Source organism: Homo sapiens, chromosome 22, assembly GCF_000001405.40.
Source record: "Homo sapiens chromosome 22, GRCh38.p14 Primary Assembly".
Lineage (NCBI taxonomy): Eukaryota > Metazoa > Chordata > Mammalia > Primates > Hominidae > Homo > Homo sapiens.
Genome location: NC_000022.11, coordinates 45,030,967 through 45,049,426, shown reverse-complemented (window position 1 = coordinate 45,049,426; position 18,460 = coordinate 45,030,967). Strand labels below are relative to the sequence as shown.

The 18,460-nt window shown below is 50.4% G+C and overlaps 2 annotated features.

The window, feature by feature from the left end:
• Nucleotides 16,780-17,417: an enhancer, noted in NCBI's record as "OCT4-NANOG-H3K27ac hESC enhancer chr22:45427891-45428528 (GRCh37/hg19 assembly coordinates)". NCBI's record gives its function as "activates a minimal SCP1, AML or CMV promoter by ChIP-STARR-seq in primed H9 embryonic stem cells {active_cell/tissue: H9 hESC(primed)}" and the evidence as "EXISTENCE:reporter gene assay evidence [ECO:0000049][PMID:30033119]".
• Nucleotides 17,418-18,055: an enhancer, noted in NCBI's record as "OCT4-NANOG-H3K27ac hESC enhancer chr22:45427253-45427890 (GRCh37/hg19 assembly coordinates)". NCBI's record gives its function as "activates a minimal SCP1, AML or CMV promoter by ChIP-STARR-seq in primed H9 embryonic stem cells {active_cell/tissue: H9 hESC(primed)}" and the evidence as "EXISTENCE:reporter gene assay evidence [ECO:0000049][PMID:30033119]".

Genomic DNA, 18,460 nt, shown 5'->3' with positions numbered 1-18,460 from the left:
GCTAAATCACCCTCCAGCTGTGTGTGTCCGCACAATTTCTGCTGGATTTTAAAAAACAAGCTTTGTGTGTGCACGTGTGCTTGAGCTTGTGTGTGTCTTTAATTCGGTAGATCCAATCTAGAAGGAAGGGCGTCACATCCCCATCCATGGCTTCGGCTCTCGTCTGGCCACTCGGGACGCTCCAAATCTATGACTCCTGCCTCCCGGGTATCCCAAGGGCACCCAAACATCGGAGCCACAACTGGATCCCTCAGCCTCTTGATGAACCTCCTCCCCTGTTCCTGCTGCCTCCCTGAAGGGCCCCATGACTTCCTTTGCCTAAATAACAAAGCTGAAGTCCTTCATCATTCCCCTCACTCAACTCCACACCCAACCAGACAGGAGTCTTGTCTAAAGCTCTCTAATGTCTGTCCCCTTGCCTCTGTCCCTCCACTGAAGCCTCTAGACCAGCCTTCTCCCTCCAAGTCTCAGCCCCAGGAGCCAGAGTGAGCTTGCTAAAGTGCAAATCACAGAAACAAGGTGGAGGTAAGGTAGACAACTGCCACGCCTCCCTCCTCTGGGAGCAGCCTCCTGTGCCTGCATAACCTCGCACTGCCCTCCACTCTGGCCCATCTGTGGGAGGGAAGGATGCACCTGTGGGAGGGAAGGATGTGTGCAGGTGAGCAGGGAGAGAGGCCACGAGGTGCGGACTGCAGCCTCATGGCACAGCAAAAGTGCAAAACACCAAGTGTCCACCATGTGGGAATTGCTAAATCAGGGCTGCAGGGAGAAACTCAATGCCTGGACTAGGTCCTGGAACAGAAAAAGGGCCTTAGTGAGAAAACTGGTGAAACGCAAGCAAAAGATTTCGTTAATAATGATATACCAACGTGCATGTTTAGTTTTGACAAATGTCCCATGGTTATGGCAACATTAGGGGAACTCTGTGCTATATTCACAACATTTCTGTAAATCTAAAATTATTCCAAAATAAGACGTTCATTTTAAAAGAAAATGTGGTTGGTCATGGTGGCTCATGCCTATAATCCCAGCACTTTGGGAGGCCAAGGTGGGAGGATTGCTTGAACCCGGGAGTTCAAGGCCAGGCTGGGCAACATAGGGAGACCCCATCTCTATCAAAAAATACAAAAATTAGCCAGGCATGATGGCATGCACCTGTGGTCCCAGCTACTGGGCAGGTTGAAGATCACTCGAACCTGGGAGGTCAAAGCTGCAGTGACACCTGATTGCTCCACTGCACTCCTGCCTGGGTGACAGTGAGACCCTGTCTCAAAAGAAAAAAGAAAAAAATATATATTATGGTGCATTCGCTAAGTTGAATAAGATGCAAGCTTAAAAAAGCAGATAGTATCTATTTACAAATAGTATCTATTACAGAAAAATATTCCCGATTCTTGATATGTTTATAGACAAAAGCAAGTTACAAGATGGTATATATAGTATAATGTTATGCATGTATGCACGGATATCTATATTTATTCTTTAAAAAATGCTTCCCTGTATATGGAATTGGATTGGTGCTGGTTGTGTTGTTATTGTTTTAATTCTGAAATGATTCATCCCAAACTGAAAACAGCAGTTACCCCCGAGGAATGAGATCTGGAGAAGTCATTTCTTGGGAGGCTCTTTGGTGTCATTTTCATTGGTTATCACTAATATGGGCTGCTTTAATAACTTAGACAAATATTTACAAAAGCAAACTTGATCATCTCACTTCCCTTAAAGTAGTCAGTGGATCCTGCCTTTATTCATCAAAGATTTATTGAATGTCTGCTGTGTCTCAGGCTCGGTGTGAAAGCTGGAAAGTGGCCAGGGCACGGTCACTGAGGTGGAGCCCCTGGGGGAGTCAGAGGTCACAGGCACTTTTGATAGCATCGGAGAAGTCCTCAGATGGGACAGCACAGGCTGCGTGGCCTCCAGGGAATGTCCCAGCTGAGGGGCACTAGGGCCTGGGGGGATAAGGGGGTGGGCACAGCTGACCTGGAAATTGCAGCATAGAGGTAGCAGCAGTTAGCCATGGGGGACAGGCTGTGCTGAAGCCCAGAGGCCAGCGAGACTTGGGGAGAGAGAGACTGCTGGTGTCCAGCGTGGCTGGAGTGACCACTGAGCTGGGCAGTTGGTGAGGAGCAGCTTGGAAGCTCTCAACCTTGAAGCTGAGGAGTCTGAGCCAGGAGGGCCATGCTTATATTTGCTGCTGGATGGTGAATGAGCTGCTGGAGGATGTATGAGTCTGTTCTCGCAACTGCTATAAAGAAATACCTGGGACTGGGTAATTTATAAAGAAAAGAGGTTTAATTGACTGATGGCTCCATAGGTTGTACAGGAAGCATAGCAGCTTCTGCTTCTGGGGTAGCCTCAGGAAACCTAAAATCATGGCGGAAGGTGAAGGGGAAGCAGGCACGGCTCACATGCCTGGAGCAGGGGGAAGGGTCATATCAAATGAATAATTGAATAAATACATCCCCATCCTTGCTGCATATCTTTAACTGGGCAGATTTGAGGCATTTTTATTAGAATTTGAGAGGTGAGGGCTGGTGGTGAGCATCCTCTTGGCTCTGTCTCTTCATCAGGACAGGCTCCTGGGTTGCTTCTGGGTTTAGCTGGGATAAATGTTCTGCAAGTCAGTAAATAAAAGCTTAGGCAAAGTAGTGATGAGGACAGACCTATGGCAAGGGCACAACTGTATTACCTTTTCTTTCTTTCTTTCTTTCTTTTTGAGACAGTGTCACTCTGTCACCCAGGCTGGAGTGCAGTCGCGTGATCTCGGCTCACCACAACCTCCGCCTCCCTGGTTCAAGGGATTCTCCTGTCTCAGCCTCCCGTGTAGCTGGGATGAGAGGCATGTACCACCACACCCGGCTAATTTTTTGTATTTTTAGTAAAGATGGGGTTTCACCATGTTGGCCAGGCTGGTCTCAAACTCCTGACTTCAGGTGAGCCGCCTGCCTCGGCCTCCCAAAGTGCTGGGATTATAGCCATGAGCCACTGCGCCCAGCCTCTTTTCTTTTTTTTTGAGACAGGATCTTGCTCTGTTGCCAGGCTTACTGCAACCTTACTGCAACCTTACTCCCAGGCTCAAGTGATCATCCCGCCTCAGCCCCCCCAGTATCTGGGACTATAGGCTTGTGCCACCATGTCTGGATAATTTTTGCATTTTTTTGTGGAGATGGGGTTTTGCCATGGTGCCCAGGGTGGTGTCAAACTCAGGGGCTCAAGTGGTCCGCCCACCTTGGCCTCCCAAAGTGCTGGGATTACAGGTGTGAGCCATCACCCCTGACATATATTAAAATCTTTAACTGAAAAAAGAACTAGAATATAATGGAATTGAATTTTTTTTTAGTGGGTAAACAGTGAACATGGAATAACTAAGACATATACTGGTTAAACTTTTAAAAATCTACAAGTAAATTGTCTCATCAAAAACTTCGGTTTTTTAGCCAGGTGGCTCACACCTGTAATCTCAGCAGTTGGCGAGGCCAAGGTGGGTGGATCACTTTAGGTCAGGAGTTCAAGATCAGCCTGGCCAGCATGGCGAAACTCCGTCTCTACTAAAAATACAAAAATTAGCCCGGTGCGGCGGTGCGTGCCTGTAATCCCGGCTACTTGGGAGGCTGAGGCGTGAGAATTGCTTGAACCCGGGAGGCGGAGGTTGCAGTGAGCCAAGATTGCACCACTGCACTCCAGCGTGGGTGACAGAGCAAGACTCTGTCTCAAAACAAACAAACAAACAAACAAACAAAACTTCTGTTGTTGTTGTTTTTTTTTTAAGGAAAAAGCCTTTTGTTATAAATGAAATGGTGTAGAATCAGGAAGCAAGGGAAAGGGCAATAAACATTCTCCAGGTCAAGAAATTAATGAGGAAGGGCTCTCCCTTAGTTCTTGTAGATTTTAATAAATTACCTGGAAATGGAGGCACTCTGTGAAATATCTGAGTTTCTAACTGTCGCTTCCTCCTCTGGGAATGACTTGCCAAACTCAGAGAGCGTCTCCAGGCAGGTCTCCTGAGAATCCTGCGTGGGAAGCACGTGCTGGATGAACTCTGTGTCTGCAAGCAGCAGTTAATGCCGTCAGGGGAAGATAACTCAGTTGTGCCAATAAAACGACTGCTCTGAGCTATCAGTTATGATTCAATAAAGAGTCAGGAATAACGCATCTAGAATTAGGGAATTCTGGAACCAGAAGAACCACATTGATGGTTGGATTTGATCCCTATTTATTTTTTGTTTTGTTGTGGTTTTGAGACAGGGTCTCCTTCTGTTGCCCAGGCTGGAGGGCAGTGGTGCAATCTCAACTCACTGCAACCTCCACCTCCCAGGTTCAAGAGATTCTCCTGCCTCAGCCCTGCCGACGCCTCAAAACCAGCCTAGGCAACATGGCGAAACCATGCCTCTACAAAAAATACAAAAATTAGCCAGGTGTGGGGGCACAAAGCTGTAGTCCCAGCTACTCAAGAGGCTGATGTGGGAGGACCACTTGAGCCTGGGAGGCAGAGGCTGCAGTGAGCTGAGATCACGTCACTGTACTCTAGCCTGGGTGACAGTGCGAGACCCTGTCTCAAAATAAAATTTAAAAACTCAAGGATCTTGATGTGGGGAGATTGTCCCAGCACTTAGTGAGGCTGATGCAGGTGGATCGCTTGAAACCAGGAGTTCAAGATGAGCCTCGGTGACACAGCGAAACCCTGTCTCTGCAAAAAATACAAAAATTAGCCAGGCATGGTGGTAGAGGAGCCTGTTTCATGGCCGATGGAGATCCCTTTGCCTCATGATTGATTGGATGGAGTTAGAGGACAAGAACACAGGAGCCCAAGCCAGGAAACGTTTTCCACACTTGCGATCCAGCAGGCAGCTCCTCAAGACCCTCAAGAAAGGCCCTGGAGGGTGCTTGGAACCCTCCTGGGGGAAGGGAAACCTTGGGGTTCTTTAGAAGGGGCTCTTTAGTTTGCAAAGACAGAGGCTGGTGGTGAAGGTGTGAGGGGCTGCCTGAGTGAAACCTGGGAACCAGGGGTAGCCTGCACAGCCTGGTTCCAGCCCTGACTCAGAACTCGGGGTCCTCTTGTGTATTAGTTCTCTATGGCTGCTGTAAATAGTTACCCCAAATGCAGTGGATTAAAACAGTAGACCTCTATTCACTTACAGCTCTGGAGGTCAGCAGTCTGAAATCATTTTCGCTGGATAAAGTCAAGGTATCTGCAGGGTTGGTTCCTTCTAGAGGCTGCAGGGGAGAATCTGTTTCCTTGCTTTTGTCGGCTTCCAGTGGCTGCCTGCATGCCTTGGCTTGTGGCTCCTTCCACCATCTTCCAATCCCATCACTCTAATCCGTATCCATCATCCTATCATTTCCTCCTCCTTGCTCATCAAAGATCCCTCTGCCTCCCTCTCATAAGGATCCAGAGATCACAGCATGCCCACTCAGATAGTCTGGGACAGTATCGCCACATCAAGATCCTTGACTTTTTACATTTTATTTTGAGACAGGGTCTCGCTCTGTCACCCAGGCTGGAGTGCAGTGGTGCGATCTCGGCTGACTGCAGCCTCTGCCTCCCAGGCTAAAGCAATTCTCCAACCTCAGTCTCCTGAGTACCTGGGATTACAGGCATGTGCCACCACACCTGACTAACTTTTGTATTTTTTGTAGAGACAGGGTTTCGCCATGTTGCCCAGGCTGGTCTCGAACACCTGAGCTCAAGCGATCTGCCCACCTTGGCTTCCAAAAGTGCTGGGATTACAGGCGTGGGTCACCACGCCTAGATCCTTGATTTAATCACATCTGCAGAATCCCTTTTACCATATAAGGAAACATTTGCAGATTCTGGCCATTCCTGGCTAATTTCCTATCTCCCATAGTGCCCCTAAAAGGTCCCCAACCAGCCCCAGCTAGGCACCTCTCTTGGGACCTGCACCCAGTTCTGCCTCACTCTTCTCCTCTCCATGAAATTCATGAAGATTCTGCATCCACTCCTGATGACCCTCAGTAACCCCTTTCCCCCAGTCCTGAGTCCCCCCAGATTCCTGCATAAAGGCTCAGGGCCGCACATCCCTCCTCCCCACACCTTCCCTGGGCACCCAGGTGTAGTGGGCTCCTCTATTCTCTGTAACTTTCCTTCATCAATGAGCAAATCCACTCCCATCCTGCAACTAAAACTGCAGGAAACAGCTTCAAGAGAAATTTGGTTCGCTCCCCATTAAAACCAAATCGATACATTTTAGGATCCTGGAGAAGAGGTTTTTTTTTTTTTTCATCATCCATTCCCTGTTTATGCTCCTCAGGAGGGCTGTGCTGGGGATTTTCTGGAATTGGCATTCACACTCCTCTATGCACATGAGCCCAAACACCATCCTCGTCATAAATCCACATCACCGTGATGCCTGAGCATTGGCGGGCTCCCTTAAATCCACCATCTCAGCTGATCCTTACAGTTGTCGCGTCTCGGTGGGGATTATCATTCCCAGCTGACAGAGGAGGCAAGTGAGGTCCAGAATCTGCACCGCCCTTAGAGCTTTCAACGCCAGCAAGTGCGGCCCCTGCCTCAGGGGCCTGTTCTTCCCAGGGTCTCCCTCCACATTTTCTAAGACCTCTGCCATGCCTGGGACCAACCATGCTGAGAATGTCACCTGGCTGGGGCACCCAGTCCTGGGCAGAGACTCATGTGGAGTCTGGTCCCTTTTTCCTGGGTCTCCCCTGTCCAACCTTCCCCCAGGCATGTGAGGGTGACCAGATGTCCCGAGGAGTTGCAGGCCTGTGTTCATAGGACCGTCTTGGGGTCCTGGGGTCGTTCTGGGTCTCCATGATCAGCACAGTGTTTCTGGCCAATGAAAGGTGCTAGTATGTTGATTCAGGGCTACTCTCACTCACTTTGGACCCAAGACGAGTTGAGGACTCTGTACTGATAGTTCACTGCCGAGCCCTAGGCTTGAGCCACGTGGGGGTCCTGACTTGGCATGCCTCAGCATGTTCCAGTTGGTGCCAGCCCTGGTGTACAGCACCCGAGGGGGTGGGGGTGGTGGCAGCCATCCTTTACCCCGCACAGAATGGAGGTCAGGCACACTGGCTCAACGAACAGACCTGAGAAGACTGCGTGTAAATAATTTTTAATATGTTAAAGCACATTAAAAATGTACTAGGAGTGTGGCTAGTTAAAGGAATTCCATAGGGAATTGTTTTCTTAAAAAGGGGAACCTCTCGTGAATCACTCCTTAATTCATCCAGTGCCTATTTCTGGGTGATCTCTGCTCACTGCAAGCTCTGCTTCCTGGGTTCCAGCGAGTCTCCTACCTCAGCCTCCCGAGTACCTGGGATCACAGGCATCTGTCAACATGCCTGGCTAATTTTGTATTTTTAGTAGAGATGGAGTTTTGCCACGTTCGCCAGGCTGGTCTTGAACTCCTGACCTCAGGTGATCCTCCCGCCTCAGCCTCCCAAAGTGCTGGGATTATAGGTGTGAGCCAGGCTGGTCTTGAGTTACTGACCCCAGGTGATCCTCCTGCCTCAGCCTCCCAAAGTGCTGGGACTACAGGTGTGAGCCAGGCTGGTCTTGAGTTACTGACCCCAGGTGATCCTCCCGCCTCAGCCTCCCAAGGTGCTGGGATTACAGGTGTGAGCCAGGCTGGTCTTGAGCTACTGACCCCAGGTGATCCTCCCATCCTCGGCCTCCCAAAGTGCTGGGATTACAGGCGTGAGCCACCGTGCCCAGTCAATAAAGAACATCTTACAAGGACATTCTTGGTTGCCAAAAACTTTGTTCCCGGGGTGGGTAATAATGCCAGATGAATGGTTAGGCCAGAAAATAACAATGAAATATTAACTAAAATTATGTCAGGTGTCCAGGAAACCGTGAAGTATAATTTCTAGACATCTTCGCTGGAGGGAAGGGGCTATTCTGGGCCAGGACTGGCTACATCATTTGCAGGGTTCAATGCAAAACGAGAATGCAGGCCCCTTGTCCAAAATTTTAAGAATTTCAAATCGGTAACAGCAGAGCATTAAGCCCAGCAAAAGGCCCTTCTCAGTGCAGCCCATGTGCTGCTATACAGGTCACACGGCCGCAAAGCCAGCCCTAGGCTGGGGGAGGGAGAGACTTTTAGCAAAGCCTTTTCAGGGCCCCAGTAAGGGAAGTCCTGGCTTTGCTGGGAAGCTGCCTCTAGCGCCTTCCAGCGCATGTCTCCAGGTTCTTCACATCAGATTGTGGAGCAGGTGATCAATGTCCTTGGCTCTGCGATAAGCGAGTGGTCCAGGTGGACCTGAGTACTTGGAGAAGTTTCGTTTTGTTTTGTTTTGTTTGAGACAGGGTCTCGCTCTGTTGCCCAGGCTGGCGTGCAGTGGCTTGATCTTAGCTCACTGCAACCTCCGCGTCCCAGGCTCAAGCCATTCTCCCACCTCAGCCTCTCGAGTAGCTGGGACTATAGGCACTTGCCACTGCACCCAGCTAATTTTTGTATTTTTGTAGAGACGGGGTTTCACCATGTTGCCCAGCCTGGTCTCGAACTCCTAGGCTCAATCGAACTGCCCACCTCGGCCTCCTAAAGTGCTGGTATTACAGGCGTGAGCCACCTCGCCCAGCCTGGAGAAGGATTTTTGATGAATCCCAATTGACCCTCCAAAACCAGCTTTAATGTCACTTCCCCTGAAGTGGCATGGGCCGTTCCTCCACAGCCCACCTACAGAACCATATGCACACCCATCTTACCATGTTCATTCCCTCCCCTGTACCTGTGGTTGGCGCACACCTGTCTCACCCACCACCTAGAGGCTTCTGCAGAGCCCGGGTCCTCAGTGCTGGGCCTGGCCCACAGAAGTGCTTAGGGAGGATTCCTTGAGAGCACTCCCGCTTGCGAAGGGCCCCCACCTAAGAGGGGTCACCTTGCTGGGCAGTGAGCAAGGAGGCAGCGGGAACTCCAGCCCAGGGAAGAATCACAACTGCCCAGGGAGTCTGGGACCTTTTCCCAGAGCAGGGGAGATGGAGATGGGACCTGGAGGATGCCCTGTAGCCGGCCAGGTGGGCAGTGGGAATGGGAATTCCAAGGAGAGGAAAGCTTGTCAAGCGTACTGAGCTGTGAGAGTGACTGGGGACTTTAGGAAGAGGCCAGGTGTTTGTCGGGGAGGAGGGGAGAGGTCCGTTGGTGCTCGTTCAAGGAGCAAGGCCATCCTGGACAGCAGGGAGTAGGGGAAGGTCATCATCAGAGCTGTGCCTGGAAAGATAACCTTGGCCACAGCAGGAGGACAAGTAAGAGTTCACAGGCCTGGAATTGGGGTGGCCATGAGGGGGCTGCCATGTCCCCAGAGAGCAGTGTTGGGCCTGAGCATGGCAGGGGTGCTAGGTGGAGGTGAGGGGTTAGAGGGGGGACAGGCTCAAGAATCACCTGTGGCCGGGCGCAGTGGCTCATGCCTGTAATCCCAGCACTTTGGGAGGCCGAGGTGTGCAGATCACGAGGTCAGGAGTTCAAGACCAGCCTGGCCGACATCGTGAAACCCCATCTCTACTAAAAATACAAAAATTAGCTGGGCATGGTGGTGCATGCCTGTATTCCCAGCTACTCGGGAAGCTGAGGCAGGAGAATTGCTTGAATCCAGGAGGCAGAGGTTGCAGTGAGCCGAGATCATGCCACTGCACTCCAGTCTGGGTGACAGAGCAAGACTCCATCTCAAAAAAAAAAAAAAAAAAAAAAAACTAAAAAAACAATCACCTCTGCGGGAGTACCAGGCTGGGGATGGAGGGATGGAACCAGGAGGCTGAGGGAGTTGAGAACAATGGCCAGATTCCAACTTGGGCAACAGGAAGAAGGGTGATTGTTGAGGGCTGAATCTGTCCCCCAAAGTTCACAGGTTGAAACTGAACCCCAGTGGGATGGCATTAAGAGGTGGGGCCTTTGGGAGGTGAGTAGTCATGGTGGGGGTGCCTCGTGAATGAAATTCATGCCCTTTGGAGGCCATGGGAAGCTGCCTTTCTCTTCCACCGCATGAGGACACAGCTGTCTGTGAGCTGGAAGCTGTCCTCACCAGACACTGAATCTGCTGGCGCCTTGATCTCCGAATTCCAGACTTCACAAATGTAAGAAATAAATTTCTGTTATTTATAACCCCCACCCAACCCCGCCAAGTTGATGGTATTTTGTTACAGCAGGGACTGAGACAGCAATCAATAAACACAACCAATGAGAACATTCATGGCGACCTCAGTGCCACATGCAGGCCTTTGCATGCATCTCCCTGTGTGACCCCAGCCCCACTACTCATTCACAGGCTCCAAGTTAATTGTGCAGAAACGCACACAGCTCACCCCACGTCTGGCTGGCCCCAAGCCCTTGTGTGTAGCCACAGTGACCTCTGCCAACAGAGAAGCCCTGGCTTTCTTGAGCAGGAAGTGAGGTGAGAAAATAGCAAAAGAGAAGTCCTTTAGAAAGAGCTTTTGCAGGTATGTCTGCTCCTGGGCTCCCTTCAGCAGGGCTTATCTCACAAGCTCCTGTTTTCATTTCCTATTACTGGGAGATCGGCTGTCAGCCCAGGTGTCATCTCAGCACTCAGTGCAGCCTCCACTCAAGCCAGCTGGGCCCCAGTCACCTACACATGGGGTCTCCTGTTCTGTAGACAGGCCCTGGCCTCGGCTGTGCCATTTACTCTTTCAGCCCCACTAACTCTCCCCTGCTGGGGCCCATGTCACCACCCAGCTCATTGCCCACCAGTGGAATGCTGTCACCCCTATGGAACAGTGTCACCCATCAATGGAACACTGTCACCCTCCCATGGAACACTGACACCCTCCCATAGAAACTGTCACCCACCAATGGAACACTATCACCCCCATGGAACACTGTCACCTTCCCATGGAATGCTGTCACCCCCATGGAACACTGTCACCCTCCCATAGAAACTGTCATCCACCAATGGAATGCTGTCATCCCCATGGAACAGTGTCTCCCACCAATGGAACACTATCACTCACCAATAGAATGCTGTCACTCTCTCATGGAACACTGTCACCCACCAGTGGAACACCGTCACCTGCCAATGGAACACTGTCACCTGCTAACAGAACACTGTCACCCTCTCATGGAACAGTCACCCACCAATGGAATGCTGTCATCTGCATGCAACAGTGTCTCCCACCAATGGAACACTGTCACCTGCCAATGGAACGCTGTCACCTGCTAACAGAACACTGTCACCCTCTCATGGAACAGTCACCCACCAATGGAATGCTGTCATCTGCATGCAACAGTGTCTCCCACCAATGGAACACTGTCACCTGCCAATGGAACGCTGTCACCCTCTCATGGAACAGTCACCCACCAATGGAATGCTGTCATCTGCATGCAACAGTGTCTCCCACCAATGGAACACTGTCACCTGCCAATGGAACGCTGTCACCCTCTCATGGAACAGTCACCCAGCAATGGAACGCTCTCACCCTCTCATGGAACAGTCACCCAGCAATGGAACGCTGTCACCCACCAATGGAACACTGCCACCCACCAATGGAACACTGTCACCCACCAATGGAACACTGTCACCCACCAATGGAATGCTGCTACCCTTTCATGGAACAGTCACCTGCCAATGCAACACTGTCACCCTCTCATGGAACAGTCACCCGCCAATGGAACACTGTCACCCTCTCATGGAACAGTCACCTGCCAATGGAATGCTGTCACCCTCTCATGGAACAGTCACCCACCAATGGAACACTGTCACCCTCTCATGGAACACTCACCCGCCAATGGAACACTGTCACCCTCTCATGGAATAGTCACCTGCCATTGGAATGCTGTCACCCTTTCATGGAGCAGTCACCCACCGATGGAATACTGTCACCCTCTCATGGAACAGTCACCCACGAATGGAATACTATCACCCTCTCATGGAACAGTCACCCACCAATGGAATACTGTCACCCTCTCATGGAACAGTCACCCACCAATGGAATACTGTCACCCTCTCATGGAACAGTCACCCGCCAGTGGAATGCTGTCACCCTCTCATGAAATGCTGACACCAATGGAACACTATCATCCACCAATGGAATGTTGTCACAATGGAAAGAGACTGTTTTTGGATGTGCTGCTGTTGAGGTCCCTCAGGACATCCCAGCAGAGATGAAAAGTTGGCCTGGTGATTGGAGGCAGCTGGTGTGAGACTGACCATGGAAGCCTTGGCTGAGCTGTGATCCCCTAGGGAGAGGGTGTAGGGTAAGAGGTCCCAGGCCCAAGTGTTCAGGGGTCTGAGAAGGAGCCACAGAGTGTGTGGGGGAGGGCGCTGTCCCTGGGTCCCCGCTGAGAGCTCAGGGCAGGCAGGCCTGACACGTGAATGGAGACCACTGGTGACTCCTCAAGAGGAAATGAGGGAGCACGAGGGGGTGGCAGACACTACAACCAGGAGCACCCGCCCCACAGCGCCCCGTGGTGCTGACTGTGAGTCGTGTCTCCTCCCACAGTCCCTAACCTCGATCTGGTGGAAACACGCTTCCTTTCTCCTCATATTACAGTCCCAGAGAAGGAAGGGAGCAGGTCTAAAGTCACCCAGCAAGGTGGGTGCAGAGACAGGAGAGCGCCTGGCTTGGGGTCAGTCCCGCTGCCTTGGTGGGAAGTATTTAATGGGCCTTGAATCGGCAGAAGCTCAGGGTGGTTCCAAGCTGCACCTCCTACCTGCCGGGACCTGTGGCAAATCCTTTTCACCTACTTGAGCCTGGTGTCCTTACCCAAAGAGCAAGGACCACAGGACCCTCCGGCTCTGTCTCCATCAGGTCCATGTGAGGCTCAAACCCAGCAAGGCACGTGGGCTGTCTCCACGAACATTCCAGACTAAAAGCCATGCAGAGCACACCCTGGGGGCCAGCTTTGGACACTGGCCTGCCTGGACAGGGCACAGGGACCGGCCGCTTCCTCTGCTAGAAGTGACTACATGAAAGAGAAGTGGGCGGGGGGTGGACGAGCACGCCTGTTCCCAAGGGAAACGGGTCTCCCTGCGGATTGGAGAGTTCGCTGGTCTCCAAACCGCACCAGGTCATGGAGACCCAGGAGGCGCTGCCAGGCAACTTGCCGGTGTCACAAGCATCTGCGGCCAAAAAGGAAAAAAGCATCTCAGTGTTGCCCAAGATCAAGGCTATTCATGGGTGGGCCTTGGATGGCAGCCAGCATGCACCAGCTGAGAACCGTTCTTCTAAGCAGCCTCAGATTCCACAGAGGCTGCGCGGTGTGGCTGGAGGGGGACTGCCTGTGATTGCGATGTTCTGACTTCCATTTGGGAGATTTGCGGAATGTGTACAGGAGACTGACTTTCTGGAACAAATGCCTTTCCCTCTATGGACCGAGCAGAAAGAGCGCTGGGCTTGGCGCCTGGCGAAGGGAGTTCCCACCCCAGTTGCTGTGTAGCCCTGGGCGGGTGTGGCCCTTGGCTCCCCAGATGCCAAGTGAGATGCACAGTGTGAAGTCCCATGGGGGCTGGTCAGGACACAGTCCTCACACATGTCCATGAACACAGAACCTTTCTTAGGGCGCTGTGGCCTTAAGCTGACCAGGTTCCAGCTCTTGGCTCTATTTCCTTCCCCTTCCAGAGCATCAGGGCATGGACTCAGGGTCTGCTTGAGATTTTTGGCTGCCATGGGCTTCAGTGGTCCTTTTCCAAAAAGGGAAACAGAGCTAGCATTTTAAGGAGTCCCTATAGGTACCGTTGCCCGCTTAGTTCAGTGTTGCAGACAGGGACTTTGGGGCTGGCCCAGTTTGCCCACCTCACTGGGAGGGGAACCAGTGTGTGGGCCTGGGTCTAGACCCCAGGCCCGGTCCCACCATCAGCCCACAGCAAACAAGTCTTGGCGTTGTGCGGCCTCTGTGCCCTCACCTGAAGAAGGAAATGAGGATTCTAGGCTCCCTGCCTCACAGCAGTATTGGGGACTTTAGCAAAAATGAGGTCACTGCTGTCTTAGGACCTCTTGGTTTCCAAAGTTCTATTTCACTTCAGTGCTCGCTGTCATCTGTGGGTGGGAGATGGCGGCATTATCACCCACCTCACTTCAGAGGCAAGGGTGGTCAGGGAAAGGCCAGCCAGTCTGCTAGCCAGTGTGCAGACTGGTCCCAGTAGGGGCCAGTGATGGGGCCCACATGACGCTCCAGGCACATCACTTCCAGGCCCCTGCCACTGGCAGGACTTGGCCTCTGAAGGCAGTGCCTCATCGCTACCCCACGCTGCCCCCCAGGAGGGCACATCCTGGCACCACCATGTACTGCTGTGTGGCCTTGGCCAAAGATGTCTTTGAGCCTCTGTTTCATCATTTATAAAGTAGGGATAAGACTGCTGACCTGGGGGCGGGGGCTGTAGGGAGAGGATGAATCAAAACCCCTGGCCCACTGCCTTAGGTGGACCAGCCTGGACCACATGGCGAAACCCCATCACTGTTGGCAAAGGCAACGCCCGATGTGCACGCTGCACACCGACAGCGTCCCAGCTACTCAAAGGGTGTCTGCTACCTTGCACGCACCCTGCCTCCCTCCTTTCTCATTTCCTCCCTGTTTCTGCCTCCCTCCCTTTCTTCCTGCTTTCATGCATGTATTGGGAATTATACCTTGCCAAGCTGTAAAGAGGAGTCAAGGTGGCCTATAATAAAACAAATATAGCATAACTACTAACATGGGGGGAAGGGCTGGGTGCGTGGTTCACACCTGTAATCCCAGCACTTTGGGAGGCTGAGTCAGGAGGATCGCTTGAGCCCAGGAGTTCAAGACTGGCCTGGGCAACATGGCGAAACCCTGTCTCTGCAAAAAACAAACAAACAAAAACAAAAAACAAAACTAGCCAGACATGGTGTTGTGCACCTGTAGTCCCAGCTACTCGGGAGGCTGAGGTGGGAGGATCACTTGAGCCAGACAGGTTGAGGCTGCAGTGAGCTGTGATGGTGCCATTGCACTCCAACCTGAGCAAGAGATAAAGATCCCCATCTCAGACAAAAAGAAATAGGGGGAAGGAAAGAAGACAGAGGTCAAGGGAGAGGGTCAGCGAGTGAGTGATGTCGTCTTCGCTTATGAAGGACCATACGAGGCATTAGAGCGCGCGCCCTTTCCATGTAAAGTCTTTGAATGCAGAGCCTTCTTGCCCATGTCGTCCACCGGTGGAGCCAGGGTCCCCAGGGTGGATCTGCTCAGTCTGGAGTTCTAGAGCTGGGAAGACTTTTCAGGATCCTTAAGATCATCCCATCATCCCTTCTATTTCCAGATGGGGAAACTGCGTCTCTAAGTCAGGGCATGGCAGGAATAAAAATGAAAGCTGTGAGTAGTCTGACCTGTCAGATGCGTAGGGCGTATCTGCCTCTGTGGCTGGGAGAAACGCGGTGATAGGTTAAGAAAACCTTACTTCTGTGTGATGTTTTCTCTGCAGGGAATCTGCTTTGGTGAGATTTAAAGTTTGAACGCCTTGAGAACAGCTAGATGTTCGGCTGACTGTTAGTGAGGGATTTGATGCTCTTGAGCACTCTCAGGGCTGGAATTCACACAATACCTCCTACCATCACCCATTTAGAATAAGACTTTTGGTAAATCACACTTAATTTGAACCTCAGTGGGGTTTTTCCAGTAAAATATCAATGATAACACTTCCCATCTCCTTATAGGACTTTTTTTGTGAGCTAAACAAGGAAGATGTTAAAGTACTTCCTTTTTTAATATAGTTTTTAAAATTATAAGAGAAGGGGTCTCACTATGTTGCCCAGGCTGGCCTCAAACTCCTGGGCTTAAGCAATCCACCTGCCTCGGCCTCCCAAAGTGCTGAGATTACAGGCATGATCCCTCTCGCCCAGTCTTAAAGTATGCATACTTCTTAAAGCATAGAAGTGCCACCCAAAGGTGAGTTGTGACCAGGCTCAGTCACCTCGTACCAGAAGCTGCCTGTGGGTCTGAGGGCTCCTTCCCTATGATCAGTGAGGGGTGAGAACACCTTCAGATCTGGCCTCCCCTGGCAGCCCTTCATCCTTGAGGTTGGTTTTGTGATTCTTCTATCCCAGGTCTTCTCTCAGACATCTTCACAACGTGCCTCTCCTGGGATGCCCATCAACCCCTCATCTGGCTTATAAACTTCTTAACACCAGCTGCTTCTTGTGGTTAAGTGGAAAGTCGACTGATTTCCACTTTGTGGTTTCTCTCCTCTCTGACTATGTATCACATATCCTAATACCATACAGGGAATATTAAGCTGAAGCTAGGGCTTTAAATAACTTAAGAACTGCCAAACATCTTTGCTCTCATTTCTTTTAATAAAATAAACAAAAGTTCTTTCCTCTCTACTGAATATAGCACAGAGAATATATCCCTTCCCGTTCATCTTGAGTAAGGAAAAAAATCCCCAACAACTCTGTAATATGATTCTCCTTTTAAAATGTTCTATTGGCCAGGCACAATGGCTCACGCCTATAATCCCAGTACTTTGGGAAGCCAAGGTGGGAGGACTGGTTGAGCCCAGGGGTTCAAGACCAGCCTGGACCATGTGGCAAAACCCCATCTCTGCAAAAAATAATAATAAAAAAACTGGCTGGGTGTGGTGACACATGCCTGTAGTCCCAGGTACCTGGGAAGCTGAGGTGATAGGATCACTTGAGCCAGGGAGATGGAGGCTGCTGTGAGCCAAGATCACACTACTGCACTCCAGCCTGAGCTACAGAGTGAGACCCTGTCTCAAAAAAAAAGTTCTATTTTGTACTTCAGGGCTACTCCTCAAATTTTGATCATGAGTCTTGGAGTTTGTTGCTAATGTCAGGTTTAGCAATACTTGCCCACGTGGTGGGAACCTAGAATCATAAGCCCTTATTCTCCTGAAAGAGACCTGCCCCACCTGCAGCCTGTCAGAAAGACCTGGAAAGGAAGGGGTGGATAGGATGTGCGGGCTTCCAGTCCTGGCTGTGTAGCACTAGCTTTTGGCCTTCAGCAAATTAACACTTGTGTACTGTCAGGATAACAGCTGTACCTGCTGGGCCTTGTTGGTGTCATCATGAGAAATATCCTTAGTGTTAATCCTTAGTACAGCACCTGGCCCATGACAGGAGTCCAACATTATGATACCTGAATTCTATTTTCCTGAATCCATTAGAGTACCTGAATTCTATTAGACCACCTGAATCCATTAGAATACCTGAATCCATTAGAATACCTGAATTCTATTGAAATACCTGAATCCATTAAAATGCCTGAATCCATTAGATCACCTGAATCCCATTAGACTACCTGAATTCCATACCTGAATCCATTAGAATACTGAATTCTATTAGACCACCTGAATCCATTAGAATACCTGAATCTATTAGAATACCTGCATTCTATTGAAATACCTGGATCCATTAAAATGCCTGACTCCATTAGATCACCTGAATCCTATTAGACTACCTGAATTCCATACCTGAACCATTAGAATACCTGAATTCCATACCTGAGCCATTAGAATATCTGAATTCTATTAGACCACCTGAATCCATTAGAATACCTGAATTCCATTAGAATGCCTGACTCCATTAGAACACCTGAATTCCATTAGAATAACTGAACCATTAGAATGCCTGAATTCCATTAGAATGCCTGAATCCATCAGAATATCTGAACGATTAGAATACCTGACTCCATTAGAACACCTGAATTCCATGAGAATGCCTGACTCCATTAGAACACCTGAATTCCATGAGAATGCCTGACTCCATTAGAACACCTGAATTCCATTAGAATAACTGAACCATTAGAACACCTGAATTCAATTAGAGTGCCTGCCTCTATTAGAACACCAGAATCCCATTAGAATGCCTGAATCCATTAGACCACCTGAATTCCATGACTATCTGAACTTTTGTTTTGGGTGTGTACTAGTTTCCTGGGGCTGCCGTTGATAAGTGACCAGAAACTTGGTTTAAAACAGCAGAAATATATTCTTGCACAATTCTGGAGGCTAGAAGTCTGAAGTCATGATACTCTTTCCACATAAGGTCACATTCACAGATTTCAGGAGTTCAGATGTGGACACAACCTTTGGAGAGCCACCATTCAACCCACTGCAGGTGCCATGTCCCAATCTCCTGTCGACTGTGTCTTATCAGGTGCTCACCTCCCCTCCTTGGGCCTCAGTCTCCCAGGTATAAAATAAAGGAAGTCCCCAAGAGCTTCAAGTCTCTGACACTATGACTTCGAGTAGTCCCAGCTTAGCCCGTGGATCCCTAAGATCATTGACCAATGGTTGTTCCTCTGTGCCTCAGTTCACGCATTGTGAAATTAAGAAGCTGGATGAGGCCAGGCATGGTGGCTCACACCTGTAATCCCAGCACTTTGGGAGGCTGAGGCAGGTGGATCACCTGAGGTCAGGAGTTCAAGACCAGCCTGGCCAACATGGTGAAACCTCGTCTGTACTAATAATACAAAAATTAGCCGAGTGTGGTGGTGCATGCCTGTAATCCCAGCTACTCGGGAGGCTGAGGCAGAAGAATTGCCTGGAGGCAGAGGTTGCAGTG